This window comes from Homo sapiens, chromosome 2 (genome assembly GCF_000001405.40).
Source record: "Homo sapiens chromosome 2, GRCh38.p14 Primary Assembly".
In the NCBI taxonomy this organism is placed as follows: Eukaryota; Metazoa; Chordata; class Mammalia; order Primates; family Hominidae; genus Homo; species Homo sapiens.
In genome coordinates this window covers 42,698,173-42,712,574 of record NC_000002.12, presented here as the reverse complement: position 1 = coordinate 42,712,574, position 14,402 = coordinate 42,698,173, and the positions used below count along the sequence as shown (strand labels likewise).

Genomic DNA, 14,402 nt, shown 5'->3' with positions numbered 1-14,402 from the left:
TGGCATGGATTTATACATTCACATATAAAGATTATTAAAATAATATTTAGGTATTTGGGGAAATTGGTTTAAAAAATAAATTTTTCATAGTGAGGCCCCATCTCTAAAAAAAATAAATTAACCGGTGTGGTGGGCCACACCCATAGTCCCACCTACTCAGAAGCCAAGAGGATCACTTGGGCCCCAGAGTTCAAGGCTGCACTGAGCTATGATGGTACCACTGCACTCCAGAGCATGGGCAACAGAGCAAGACCGTCTCTTAAAAAAAAAAATTCCTATATATGGATGAAGAGTGGTAAATCTTCCCACCCCTTTCCCTCACCCTCCCAGGTTCCCTTACCTCAGATGTCATTACTCTTTACATATTCTTTGAGATATTTTATGAATCTGCAAAGACCTTTTTTGTTTTTACTATTTGCTTTAATACAGGTTTAAAAAGCTCCCATTTCTTCACTTTCATGCAGTGTCATCCCATAAACTGACTATGACACTGGTTGTGATGGTGCTGCCGTGGCCAGAGGCAATTGAAGAGGTCACCTTCTACAGTGCTTGGAAGAGTCTCAAGCTCACAGGGAAGAACTAATAAATTATTCTAAAATGCATTAATTAGAACTCTAGATCCATCAATATTTTGAGAATAACACACTTCAGCCTTATCTGAAAGTACATTCACATTGCATCACAGCGATTCTTAACTTTCTGCAGGGTGGAGGAGGGCCTAACACTGCCTTTGAGAAACTAAGGAAAACTTACTGGAAAACACACACACACACACACACACACACACACACTCTCTCTCTCTCCTATACACTCCCAGTAGATCACAGACATGGTTGCCTATGGACATCAGGTTATTAATACCTAATCTCCCTAACAAGCCAAGATCAAGACATCTGCTGAAGAGGTTGTAACAAGGTAAGTATAAGAACAGAAGAGATGATAGCATAATCAATTAGATGTTAGGAAAAGTTCATTGCTTGTCTGAAAAATAAAAAAGAGTAGACGGCTGCTGAAACACTGTCATTTTAAATCTCAAGGTAAAATTATTTAAGAATCTGATTATGTACAACTCAATGACCAGTGAAGCTAAATACAAAACAAAATAATACATGCTCTCTGAATTTCATCCAGATAGACGACTGCTCTTTTATGATTACTATAATCTATATGCTTATAGAAATAAAATACAGGTAACTTAATTATGATCCCTTTTAGCAGCATGGCCCGTCAATTGAGAAAAAAATTAGAACGAGATAAAAGAAAAATATACTTCATTGAAGAATAATCAAAACAAAGATAATGTGCAAATTAACTGAAAATTAACACACAAGCCCTGGGGAAACAGAGTTTCCTCAGCAGCCAACTGAGTTGCTGATGGTTTCTCTTCTAGTCCTAGGACAAAGATGATACTGGATCCCCACCAATCTTAATGGAAAAGTCTCATTCATTTTCATTCTTAAATGTTTTACTTTTTAATTTTTATTTATTTATTTATTTTTTAATGCGGAGTCTGTGTTGCCCAGGCTGGAGTGCGGTGGCATGATCTCAGCTCACTGCAACCTCTGCCTCCCAGGTTCAAGTGATTCTCTTGCCTCAGCCTTCCAAGCAGCTGGGATTACAGGCGTGTGCCACCATGCCTGGCTAATTTTTGAATTTTTAGTAGAGATGAGGCTTCACCATGTTGGCCAGGCTAGTCTCTAACTCCTGACCTCAGGTGATCTGCCCACTTCGGCCTCCCAAAGTGCTAGGATTACAGGCGTAAGCCACCGTGACTGGTCTTCACCATTTTATTTAAAAAATTACATGAAAATGTGTTTTAAATGAGCTGAACAATTTAGACTATAAATATTTCTAATTCCCAAAATGGGAAAGTGGTAACGTAAGTCCATGAGGTCTCAAATGCTAGCACAAAACCTAAATATAAGCCTAAACTCTCAAATATACATGAATCTAATATAGTAATCCCCCTTCTGTGGGACTCTGACATTGCTACCACTTTCTTTTTTTTTTTTTTTTTTTTTTTTTGAGATGAAGTTTCGCTCATTGCCCAGGCTGGAGCGCAATGGCGCAATCTCAGCTCACTGCAACCTCTGCCTCCCGGTTTAAAGCAATTCTCCTGCCTTGGCCTCCTGAGTAGCTGGGATTACAGGCGCCTGCCACCACGCCTGGCTAATTTTTGTATATTTAGTAGAGACAGTTTCACCATGTTGACCAGGCTGGTCTCGAACTCCTGACCTCAGGTGATCCACCCACCTCGGCCTCCCAAAGTACTGGGATTACAAGCATGAGCCACCGCGCCCAGCCCTCAACTCCCTTTACAAAGCATTTTTCTTCTTATAGAGCTGCTACTTAAGTTTTAAAGCCTTTCAACTATTCTGCTAAAAATTATCTTTAGGAACAAAAAATGTTTTTTTCAGTCATCATTCCTTTTATTGATATCCTCTTTAAATCAAAGGGGAACATTTCATAGTAAGAGATTTCTTAGAATGGCTTTAGGATTTCCTATCTGTTAGGCCAGACAGCAAGTTTTGTCACCCCTTAAGGAACAAAAGCTGCACGGCTCTAACATGCTAGCCTGGAATGTGACTCCAGAGCTAACATATTAATTATACACATATTGTCAGAGACATGGTAATGACAAAACGATCCACAATTCATGGACACATATGATCTCTGTGCTAACAAAAATAAAAATAAAAAAGATAAGCAAGACCAAATGTGTTGAAAATAAGAGTAGTAAGTCATGTAAATGTTATGTGGTGATATATATGATACATGATCATGAAATGGAAACCAAACTGGACAAACAGGCTGCTCAACCATATGTTTAGATGCTAGCTTATGAAAATGCAATGTGTAATTTCAGAAAACTCACCCAAAAATGAGTTTAAAATTTACTTGTAATTTGCTAGACCTTCTAATAAATATAGTATTTGTTATGAATCAAGGGTGAATTTCCATAATGTTGTATGACAATTGTAAAAGGTTCATGAGAAAAACGAGAGGTTTACAAAGACATACAGTCTCTAATTAGTGTAAATTGGCAAATTTTATTTAAACCTAATGAATCCATGTAAGACTGGACTGTACTGTCTCGATTATGGAGTCTCATTATAACAGCATCCTTAGGGGTTACATTGTGGCACTACCTAAAAGGTAAAAGTGCTTCAATAAGGGCTCTGCAGGCAATTCCATCACAAAACCCCATGGAATAGGATCACCTCCCACCAATCTTTTGCTAAGCACTACTCTCTGGTAAAGAGTACAGAAGTTTCAATGTTTTGATTTTTTTTTTCCAGGTTGGCATGATACAAATGGCAGCACACAAAAACAATGTTAAAAAATAAACCAAATAAAAGGCTGTACACAAGAACTTATGTTTATTGCAAACAAACAAACAAAAAAAAAAGGAAAGAGAGGAAAAGAGAAAATGGTCAGAAGCACAACATATAAGGTTAAGAATTTAAAAGCATCTTACATTCTGCCCTAATGGCAGCATAATTAATAGCAACAAACGGCCGTCTTGCTGCCTGCCGCAGCCGGAGGGTATTTTTGCAGACCTGACGAGCAAATTTTGTGAAATATGTAGTATGAAGGAAGAAAGCTTGGCGGGTCTTCACTGCAGACTTTGGACTCCCAGTGTTTCGGACTGGCATTCCCTGCATGGCCTGGCGGGACACGTGACTTCTAACACGAGGGTCCTGCAAAATCAGAAAACAACAAACACTCAAGGAAGTGAACTTGCCCAAACACGTTACTGTTTGCATCATGCTCAAAAGAAAAGTGCAACTTTTAAATCTTTCATGAAGCATCTATAACGTCACTTGGTGCACTACCTCTAAAAGAGAGAATTAAAGTGTGCACTTTTGGGAAAGAGGTGGGGAGTAGAGAAGGGAACTGTGGAGAATACTGTACTGCTATACAGGAATCCAAAATCACATTCACAGTAAGTGGTATGAAACTGCCAAGGGGGTTAACTACACTTTTTTTTAAATTAAGGAGTCCTGAAAGCCCGTCAGCACTGAAAAAGGGTAGTCGCCCACTGGTAAACACAGGCGTTTGGCATCTTCAGCCTATGAGGATTTTACCAAAATCACATTTAAACTGTTGTTCACCTCAAGATTAAGTCCATACTTCTTGTCCCTCCAAAACAGCCACGGGGAGAAAAAATGCTTAATTTGCATTTATGACTTTATGTAGTAAGACACGCCTTCAACAGAATGTAAAGGTTACGAACTGTTTTCAAAAGCAATTAAACATTTAATTTGTAAGCTCTCTACTTATGCTAACATCTCCCACACTCATTGTTTTTTTGTCTGAGACCATTATTCTGAATACCTGATAAAATTTAATTTCTCTCTGCTTCTCTCCACACCTACCCTGAATATTGTAGTGCTACGTTTAGCTATAAAGGTAGCTTTCTTCATTTTTTAATTATCCTATACTGTACTTCTGTTTCCAAGGAATAATCAACCCATTTAAAAACATGCCATTTTTCAACACTAAAAAGACTACTGTACCTCTGTAGTTGGGCTAGGAGATAACTTCTCTTCTTCTGACTGGGTGGGCATTTTCAAGCCTCCATATTTTTTCCAATAAAGCCAACAAATTGCACATAATCTACACTGCATATTAGGTGGGCCCCAAGAATACCACTGGTGAGACTGTGTAGCTAAAGCAGAAGAAAAATAAGAAAAAACGAAAAATGCTATTTAATTTGTAACATCAACACAAAATAATCAAACATTTTAAAAATACTTGTCATGCTTAGTTTACAATGTTATTGTTCCCAGCTTACAAGCCAAACATAATAGTATATTTGTTTTTTTAATACTCAGAATTCATTAAACCAACTTATTTCCATTATTATATAAAGTGCTTGTGGCCCTGTTAAAGCTATTCAGTGAAGCATCCTGTATTATGCATTGTGCTGCTGAGGGAGTTTTTGTTTTGTTGATTAAAAATACTCTATTGTGTATGTTTCTGGAAATAGGTTCTCAAAAAGATGGTAGTATTTAAAAAATCTGGGGCCGGACATGGTGGCTCACGCCTGTAATCCCAGCACTTTGGGAGGTTGAGGCAGGCGGACCATGAGGTCAGGAGATCAAGACCATCCTGGCTAACACGGTGAAACCCCGTCTCTACTGAAAACACACAAAAAAAATTAGCCAGGCATGGTGGCACGCACCTGTAGTCCTAGCTACTCGGTAGGCTGAGGCAGTAGAATTGCTTGAATGTGGGAGGCAGAGGTTACAGTGAGCTGAGATCACGCCACTGCACTCCAGCCTGGGCGACAGAGTGAGGCTCCATCTCAAAAGAAAAAAAAAAAAAATCTAAATCCACGTTTCCAAACCCAGGGTTCAGACACCACTCCAAGGATTATTTAAGGTACTCAGGGAGGTCTCATTGATAAAGTCAGGAATCTAATAAAAACAGGTATCTGTCAGCCAGGTGTGGTGGTGAACCCCTGTAGTCCCAGCGACTACAGAGACTGAGGCAGCAGGACTGCTTGAGCCTGGGAGGTTGAGGCCACTGTGATTGCACCACTGCATTCCAGCCTGGGTTACAGAGGGAAGCGGGGAGGAGGAGGGGGCTGGGGAGGGGAAGAGGGAGGGAGTAGGGGAGGAGAGAAGAAACAAACAGGTATCTGTTTTGCACTCCTTTATTTTAATCAATAAGTAAAATCCTTATTTTAAAATCTCCATTTACAGACAGAATCCCTTTCAAGACTCTAAATCCATATGAAGTGAGCATGGGCAGCTGACATCACAGCATGCTTGAGGCCTAAAACTCAGATGATTTAACAGCTAGCTGAACACTGTAAGCTTGTGTTAGTTTTTGTTTTGTAGTTTAAATTACTGACATGTGACATTTAAAATACATGTGTGATAGATCTGAAGTTTAAGAGAAAACATTGAGGTTGAGACATAAGTTAATTGGGTGCATAAAAAATTGTAATTCTGTAAGTTTGCCTTAAAATATTATTTCTCTGACCTGTAAGTTACCTTCAAATGTTCAAACAGCACATGAAGATATCAACTAACACTTCACAAACCAATGTGAAAAAGAGAAAATACAGAGACCATTATATTCATGTTTATCGGGAATAACACTGTACACCCATCATGTATTATTTTTGGAGGATTATTATTTTAGGCTTTTATTTGTGTAAATATTTTAGGCCTATTTTAGGCTTTCATTTATACAAATAACTATTTTATACAAATGAAAGCCTAAAAGCCTTTCCTCCTATAATTTAGAACTAATAAGTCATTTTTTAAATTTTTTATTTTATTATTATTATACCTTAAGTTTTAGGGTACATGTGCACAATGTGCAGGTTAGTTACATATGTATACATGTGCCATGCTGGGGTGCTGCACCCATTAACTCGTCATTTAGCATTAGGTATATCTCCTAAAGCTATCCCTCCCTGCTCCCCCCACCCCACAGCAGTCCCCAGATGTGATGTTCCCCTTCAAAATCTTAAACATTAAGCTATGAATCTATTTTGAATTCTAAATATAAAATTTCACTTAAAACATACATTTTACGTAAACTAATCATGCAAATCATTTTAATAATTGTCAATAAATGCCTTTCTCCTTAAATAACTCAAATTCAATTGGAAAGTAGGTATCATTTAATAAATAGAAAACATCAAGTTCTATCTCTCTGTAAGGATAAATCTTATATTAAGATAACATTTTATCATGGAGATTAGTAATACATGAGTCTAAAGTAAATATTATAAAATAAAAATAGCTTATTCATCATGCACACATAAAAATAACAGAATAATCATTTAAGGGGATATACGTGAGTGTGAAAGGGGTTTGCAAGTTAATTTTTTTTTTGGGGGCGGGGGGGAGACGATGTTTCACTCTGTCACCCAGGTTGGAGTGCAATGGTGCAATCTCAGCTCACTGCAACCTCTGCCTCCTGGGTTCAAGCTATTCTCCTGCCTCAGCCTCCTGAGTAGCTGGGATTACAGGTGCATGCCACCATGCCTGGCTAATTTTTGGTATTTTTAGTAGAGACGGGGTTTCACCATGTTGGCCAGGCTGGTCTCGAACTCCTGACCTCAGGTGATTCACCCGCCTCAGCCTCCCAAAGTGCTGGGATTACAGGCATGAGCCACAGCACCCTGCCTGCAAGTTAAAATCAAGACAGGTTAAGCCACTACCACTTGTCTGCAGGATTCTTTTCATTTTCATTTGAATATACATGAACTACAAAATCCAAGAATTCCCAATTCAAGGTATTTATGATGCTATCCATGTAAAAGCCTGACCTAAAAAATCTTAATTTTCCACAAATTGTTTCCCTTTGTGCTCCCATGCTGCAAAAAAATGGTTAAACACATCCCCATGTACCATTTCTACAAATTCAGCAACTTGGCTCACACCTTCCTTGGGATCAATCGACGTAATCGTACTCACAGCCGTCCCTCATTCCTATATCCTTCCTGAAGGCAGTAGGCTACATGTACTCTCAAAGAGCTACTAAGAACCCAAAATGGGGCACCAAGTAGGTTTTCAATAAACATTCGTTTCCTTCCCTCTCCCATCCCAGGCTACCTTAACTGGAAGGAAACATAGATGATAATATCACCAATGCCCCATTAAGATATTGTATCCTTGCTTGAGATTTAAAATAAACACACAAAGTCTATCAACTACCTAACGGTTCACTTCACCGACCCCATTTAACACCCTGGGCAAATAAAATACTGCCACCATAGATAAATACAGTGGGATCCTGAGGCCAAAAGCAAGTATCATAGAAGAGCATTTCCCAAACTGGTGCACTGAGGGAACATGGTCTGAGGATTATATACAGCAGCTTATCCACACAGAGGCCTTTCCTACAGAATTACTTGGAGCTTTAATTTGTCAAAGTATACTGAGAAACTCCAAAGGGGAATTTGGTATGCATCATGGGAACACAGTTTCTGCAAAGCTAATATGACTCTAAACACAACTCAGCAAACACTGCTATGAAATAATCAACAAACCACAAGAGTACATCAAGGGAAATCCAATGCCTAACTTGAGTGTGTGGTACGTAATAAGGATTCAATAAACAGTCCCTCTGTTCCAGGCAGAAGGTAAGGAGGGGCATCTACTCATTTAGAGGAGACATGCTTGTGCCTTCCAAGGTGCACCGTACTGACCTCAGGCACTTCCCAGACGCTCACACCCCATGAGCCAGAACAGTTCCCGATGCTTAACTGACCTGCTAGAGAAAACTTACCATAGCAGCTCTCACAGGCTCTCCCTAAGAGAGGATTCTGAGGCTGGAACGTGGTCCCCACAGCTCCATTCACAGCACCAGGCTTCCCATTACTAGTGGATATTTGGTTGGGATTTGGTTTGCTGCTTTCAATGAAATTAAAATAAGGTGATAAAATGATTTGTACAATAAGGCAAAAAGCTCTATATCATTACTGATTTACCGTCACTATTTAATAAACATAAACAAACATTTTAAAATGTGTGAAGAAGAAATAAACTGGTAAAACCAAGGTGTTAAATGAACTCACACTACTCATCTTTATAAAACGAGTCTATGAAAAAAGGAATTGCTTATGCCTGACATTCACGAAGTAAATACTGTCCCATCTCTTTTCTGGTCCGAATACAATTTCCTTAGAACATCCTCTGACACTTTTTTTTTTTTTTGGAGACGGAGTCTCGCTCTGTTGCCCAGGCTGGAGTGCAGTGGCGCGATCTCGGCTCACTGCAACATCCGTGTCCCGGGTTCAAGCAATTCTCCTGTCTCAGCCTCCCTAGTAGCTGGGATTACAGGCGCCCGCCGCCACGCCCGGCTAACTTTTTGCATTTTTAGTAGAGACGGGGTTTCACCGTGTTAGCCAAGATGGTCTTGATCTCCTGACCTCGTGATCCGCCTGCCTCGGCCTCCCAAAGTGCTGGAATTACAGGCGTCAGCCACCGTGCCCGGCCCCTCTGACACTTTTGAAAGAGACAAGTTATCGTTTATAAATTCTCCCGAGAAAATAATTATTTGGATCAAACAAATTAAGTGAAAGGCAACATGGTTGTGTTTCGAGAAAGCCACTCTTCAGTTCCTGCTGCTGGTGTGGGGGCTGTGGCTACTGCACTCCAGCTCTCCAGGGAGCTGCACAAAAGCCACACGCTTAGCAGATGCTGCGGGGTCAACAGGGCCCATCTCTAGGTCACTTAGGACTTCAGGAGCTTCTGGCCACTCATGATGACCACTCCGATTACATCTGAAATTTTATCAGAAATATTACATAGCATTTGAAATTTTAAAAACCAGTAAAGGTATTTGGAGGTTTTCCTTTTTAAGACAGTATTTTTTAAGAGGAGAAAAGAGAGGCAGGAGGATGACTTGAAGCCAGGAGTTCGGAGACCAGCCTGGGCAACACAGTGAGACTCTGTCTCTACAAAAACAAAAATAAAAATTACCCAGGCATAGGTGCCTGCGCCTGTAGTCCCAGCTACTCAGAAGGCTAGGGTGGGAGGATCACTTGAGCCCAGGAGTTAGAGGCTGCAGTGAGCCATGATCATGCCACTGTACTCCACTCCAGCCTGGGCAACAGAGGGAGACCCTTTCTTTTGGGGAGCAGGGAGGGGAAGAGACATCTACCAGAAGTGTATATGCAAATTTCCCAAAGACCAAGTCAACAGAGCCATTAATTCCTTAGAAACGTGCAGCCCAGATTATCTTGGTATTTCCCAGGCAAACAAGGCTAACTTTTCCCCATGTACGGTAGGCTAACTCCCCCGCTGCTTATAAACCGTGCCCCAGAACACTGCACAGGTACACATAGTACGTTCTCAATAAATTCATAATTCATTTAACATGTATTTGTTCAGTGCCTAATAAATAAGTCTCTGACCTCAAGGAGCTTTCATTCTCGATACTTTTTGTGTTTATTTGCTAAACAGAAAATAAGCAAAATAAATCAGTAAATAATTTATCGGAAATGAATGCTGAATGGCTAAATGCAGATTATATGCTGTCTTCCCATATCTACTGATGCAATGAGACCTCACAACTATCAAGACAGCTGAAGTCAGAGTTGACTCAAGGTCTTCCACTTTCCACAATTCCATTCACCTGTTAAAGCCTGGTTTGTAAAGTTGGTCTGGCCTGACAGCAAAGACCCTACTTAAGATTTCCTTTTGGTATTGTTATTACAACTATCAGGTGACACTCCCACCACTGCTACCAGAAGAAATCATTTAACCACTGTGTGCACTGAGATCTCTACTCTATAAAATAGGACTATTATTTACACTTCTAACCTGTGTCAGCAATGTATGTTAAGGACAAATTGGTTTTTATTTTTATTTTATTTATTTATTTACTTTTTGAGACAAAGTCTCGCTCTTGTGACCCAGGCTGGAGTGCAATGGCACGATCTTGGCTCACTGCAACCTCCACCTCCCAGGTTCAAGCGATTCTCCTGCCTCAGCCTCCTGAGGAGCTGGGATTACAGGTGCCTGCCACCACGCCTGCCTAATTTTTACATTTTTAGTAGAGACGGAGTTTCACCATGTTGGCCAGGCTGGTCTCAAACTCCTGGCCTCAGGTGATCTGCCCACCTCAGCCTCCCAAAGTGCTGGGATTACAGGCGTGAGCCACCATGCCCAGCCTATTTATTTTTTTTGAGATGGAGTTTCACTCTTTCGCCCAGGCTGGAGTGCAGTGGCGTGATCTCGGCTCACTGCAACCTCTGCCCCCGGCAGGTTCAAGCGATTCTCCTGCCTCAGCCTCCCAAGTAGCTGGTACAGGCTCCCGCCACCATACCCAGCTAATTTTTGTATTTTTAGTAGAGACGGGGTTTCACCATGTTGGCCAGGCTTGTCTCAAATTCCTGACCTCAGGTGATCCACCCACCTCGGCCTCCCAAAGTGCTGGGATTACAGGCGTAAGTCACTGTGCCCAGCCAACAAATTGGTTTTTAAAAGACATTTTTCTTTTTTTTGAGAGAGGGTCTCACTCTGTCACCCAGGCTGGTGTGTAGTGGTGTGATCACCACTCACTGCAGTCTTGACCTCCTGGGCTCAGGTGATACTCCCACCTCAGCCTCTCAAGTAGCTGGGACTGCAGGTGTGTGCCACCATGCCTGGCTCTTTATTTACTTTTTTTTTTTTTTTTTGATAGATACAGGGACTCTATGTTACCCAGGCTGGTCTTGAGTTCCTGGGCTCAAGGGATCATTCCACCTCAACTTCTCAACAGGTGTGAGCCACCATGCCTGGCCTTTAATTTTTTTTTTTTTTTTTTTTTGAGGCAGGGTCACCCAGGCTGGAGTGCAGTGGCATGACCATGGCCCATTGCAGCCTCAACCTCTCAGGCTCAGGTGATCCTCCCACCTCAGCCTCCTGAGTAGCTGGGACTACAGTCACACGCCACCATGCCTGGTTATAAAATAGATAATTATAAAAATGTATTATTTATTATCTATCTACTTAATTTTTTTAGAGACAGGGTCTCACTCTGTTGCCCAGACTAGAGTGCGGTGGCATGATCACAACTCACTGCAGCATCAAACCCCCAGGTTCAAGCAATCCTCCTACCTCAGCCTCCCAAGTAACTGGGCCTACAGGCATTTGCCTCCATGTCTGGATAATTTTTAAATTTTTTTGTAGAGGCGAGGTCCATTTTGTGCAGACTGATCTCAAACTCGTGGCTTCAAGCAGTCTTCCTGCCTCAGCTTCCCAAGTTGCTGGGATTACAGGCATGAGCCACTGCACCTGGCCCTAAAACATATTTTAAATCAGATGGAAGGTGTTTCTCTTCTTACGGTTTTCAGCTGACACTATACTAAGTGAAAAGTGGCGATTTAGAATGACCAGCATTTTCAATAATATACAATATTCCTTTTTTTAAAAATCTACTATATATAGATAGAACTGATTTCCCCTTGGGGTCAAATGACTGGCCAGAGGTTTACCAGAAATATGAAAATTTCTGATATTTAACCCAGGGCTAAATATGTGTGTTGAAAAAGAGCTAATACAAATGTACAGTTGAGCTGCCTTAAAAAAGAATGAGAGCAAAGTTCATTGCTCAACTGAATCTAGAACGTTATTTGATTGAATACATCACTTGTCTTAATGATAATAATCACAAAAGGAAAACAAGTGTGCCAAGACTGCATATAGACATGTGAATCACATAAAATATGTTCTGCAAAACCAGGTACCTATAGATTAATTCCCAGGGGACAAATGATTGATGTCATTGTGACAATCTGTGACTGTAAGCAAACATTTTTAATGTTTTAAAAGACACATTATATGAAATTGCCCTTCCTTTTATCTAACGCTCAAACCTTCCCTCACTCTCCTCATCAGTGCTCCAGATTCCAGCCCTCCTGCCCTCTAGAGAACATTATACACTCCCTCTCTCATCTGCTTGTACCTCCTTGGCTCATATGCAGCAGTGCTCACCATGCCAATAAGATCACCAATGATCTCCATGTTATTAAATTACTTGGCTATTTCCCACCAGCATCCAACACTGTTAAATCTCTCTCCCCCTCCCTGAAACACACTCCTCTCTTAGCTTCTGTGATACCATACTCGCCTAGCTATCATTTTAGCTATCATATTCTATCTGATCTATAAATACTGGATTTATTCAAGGCTAAGTCAAGGCCCTTTTCTTATTGCTATCCCTCAGAAATCTTATCTATGGCTTCAAATATAATTATTGTATGCTGATGAAGCTCAAATATGTATCTCTAGTCCAGACCTTCCCACACTGAGTTTAAGACCAATACATCCAGTATTTGGTGACAGCATATTGAACAACTCTTTTCTGATAAACTCAAAATGACCTAACCTGATTCTCTGCCACAGTTTCTGAGCTTAACAAATAGCATGACAACCCACTTCACTGTGCCAGAAACCTAGGATTCACACTTGACACCCCCGCCCGCCATAAAAGTCAGTCACCTCCAAATATCACGCCATTTCCAGAGCTACTACTCTAGGTCAAGCTAGTGTTATCTTTCCTCTCCAAGAACTTCATAACTGGTCCCTCTGCATCTACTCTTAGTCCTCTTTCTCAAACCATTTCCCAACATATAGCAGGTGATCTTAAAGTGCTAATCTGACCATGACTCTTCATTGTTTAAAATCAACTTCCACTGTTCATGAGAACTCCTGGGTAACATAGGGAGACACTGTCTCTATAAAAAATAAATTAGTCGGGTGTGGTGGTGCGTGCCTATAGTCCCAGCTACCTGGGGGGCTGAGGTGGGAGGATCGCTTGAGCCCAGGAGGTTGAGGCTGCAGTGAGCCATGACTGCACCACTGCACTTAAACCACGGTGACAGAGCAAGACCTCATCTCACAAAACAAAAACAAAAATCAAGCAAAATTTTATTCACAAAACAAGCAGTAGGTCAGATTTGGCTTGCGACTATAGTTTGTTGATCCCTGACTTAGATTACATTGACTCCAAAGTCAGCGTAAAGCCAAATGGAAACAATTATCTGGGTTACTTGGTCAAAACTAGCCAAATGTATTATTTCATGGTGGCAGCACTTTGAAGTATAAGAAAGCTGGTATGCTTGCTTTTGAAAATCTAAGACACATGAGTTGCAACAGTATTTTATTTGAGAAGTGGCTCTTTTATAAATTCATCATATAAAACATATAATTTAGAAGGAATTAGAAACCACTCTGCAGATGGGCTATTACAGTTCTTAATAAAAATTACAGACTCTGTAAAAATTACATGTTCTTAAAATTAAACCAGAGTTATCTGTCTTGTGGTAAAAGATCAATATGAAAGATCAGAACTCATTGTCTATGAGGCCTCCTCTATGTATATAAAAACATGTATTATACAAAATATCAAAATTCCAGAAACAAAAGGCTAGTTATTAAACAACTGTAAATAGGTTGAAGAGGGAGAAAAGGCTTAGAGCAGCACACAGAACTCTGCAATAAATTTCATTTTAATCCTAAAAGAAACTAGGATAGAACAATATACACGTGGTGCTTAATAAACCAATTCTTCCTGAACAAATGAATAAGCAAACTCTGAAAATCTCAACAAAAGGATATAGTACCTTATATTTCTTTTAAATTTTTTGCAGAAACGAGGTTCCCCAAAGTGCTGGGATTATAGGCGTGAACTACCATGCTCAGCCTCATTTAAAACAAAGCAAATGGAAAAAAAAAAAAAATTGGCATTCATTTTGAGATGACAATGATTTCTGAATTCAAAGGATAATAATGATAGAACACTAGACAAACAAAATAATCAAAACCTCTCCATTATTTATCACACATTTACCAAATATGGTTCTAATTGCCATTGGAACCAAGAAAACAATGTAAAATCCTCAACCAAATAAACAACAAACCTCCAAAGAGCAGTATGCATTACCC

The 14,402-nt window shown here is 40.2% G+C and overlaps 1 protein-coding gene across 6 annotated transcripts in view; it reads right to left on the bottom strand.

Annotated features, from left to right (window-relative positions):
* MTA3 (metastasis associated 1 family member 3) overlaps positions 1-14,402 on the bottom strand; it is a 262,837-nt gene that overhangs the window by 44,372 nt on the left and 204,063 nt on the right. For 4 of the 6 annotated variants that reach the window (NM_001282755.2, NM_001282756.2, NM_001330443.2 and 1 more), the window contains 3 exons: positions 8,257-8,378; positions 4,521-4,672; positions 3,479-3,701 (listed from right to left, as the gene is read on the bottom strand). In NM_001282755.2, coding sequence (NP_001269684.1) covers positions 3,479-3,701; positions 4,521-4,672; positions 8,257-8,378 — 497 coding nt within the window. Of the gene's footprint in view, positions 1-3,030; positions 3,702-4,520; positions 4,673-8,256; positions 8,382-14,402 lie in introns of those variants that run through there. The other 2 variants (NM_001330442.2, NM_020744.4) reach the window with 2 other exon arrangements.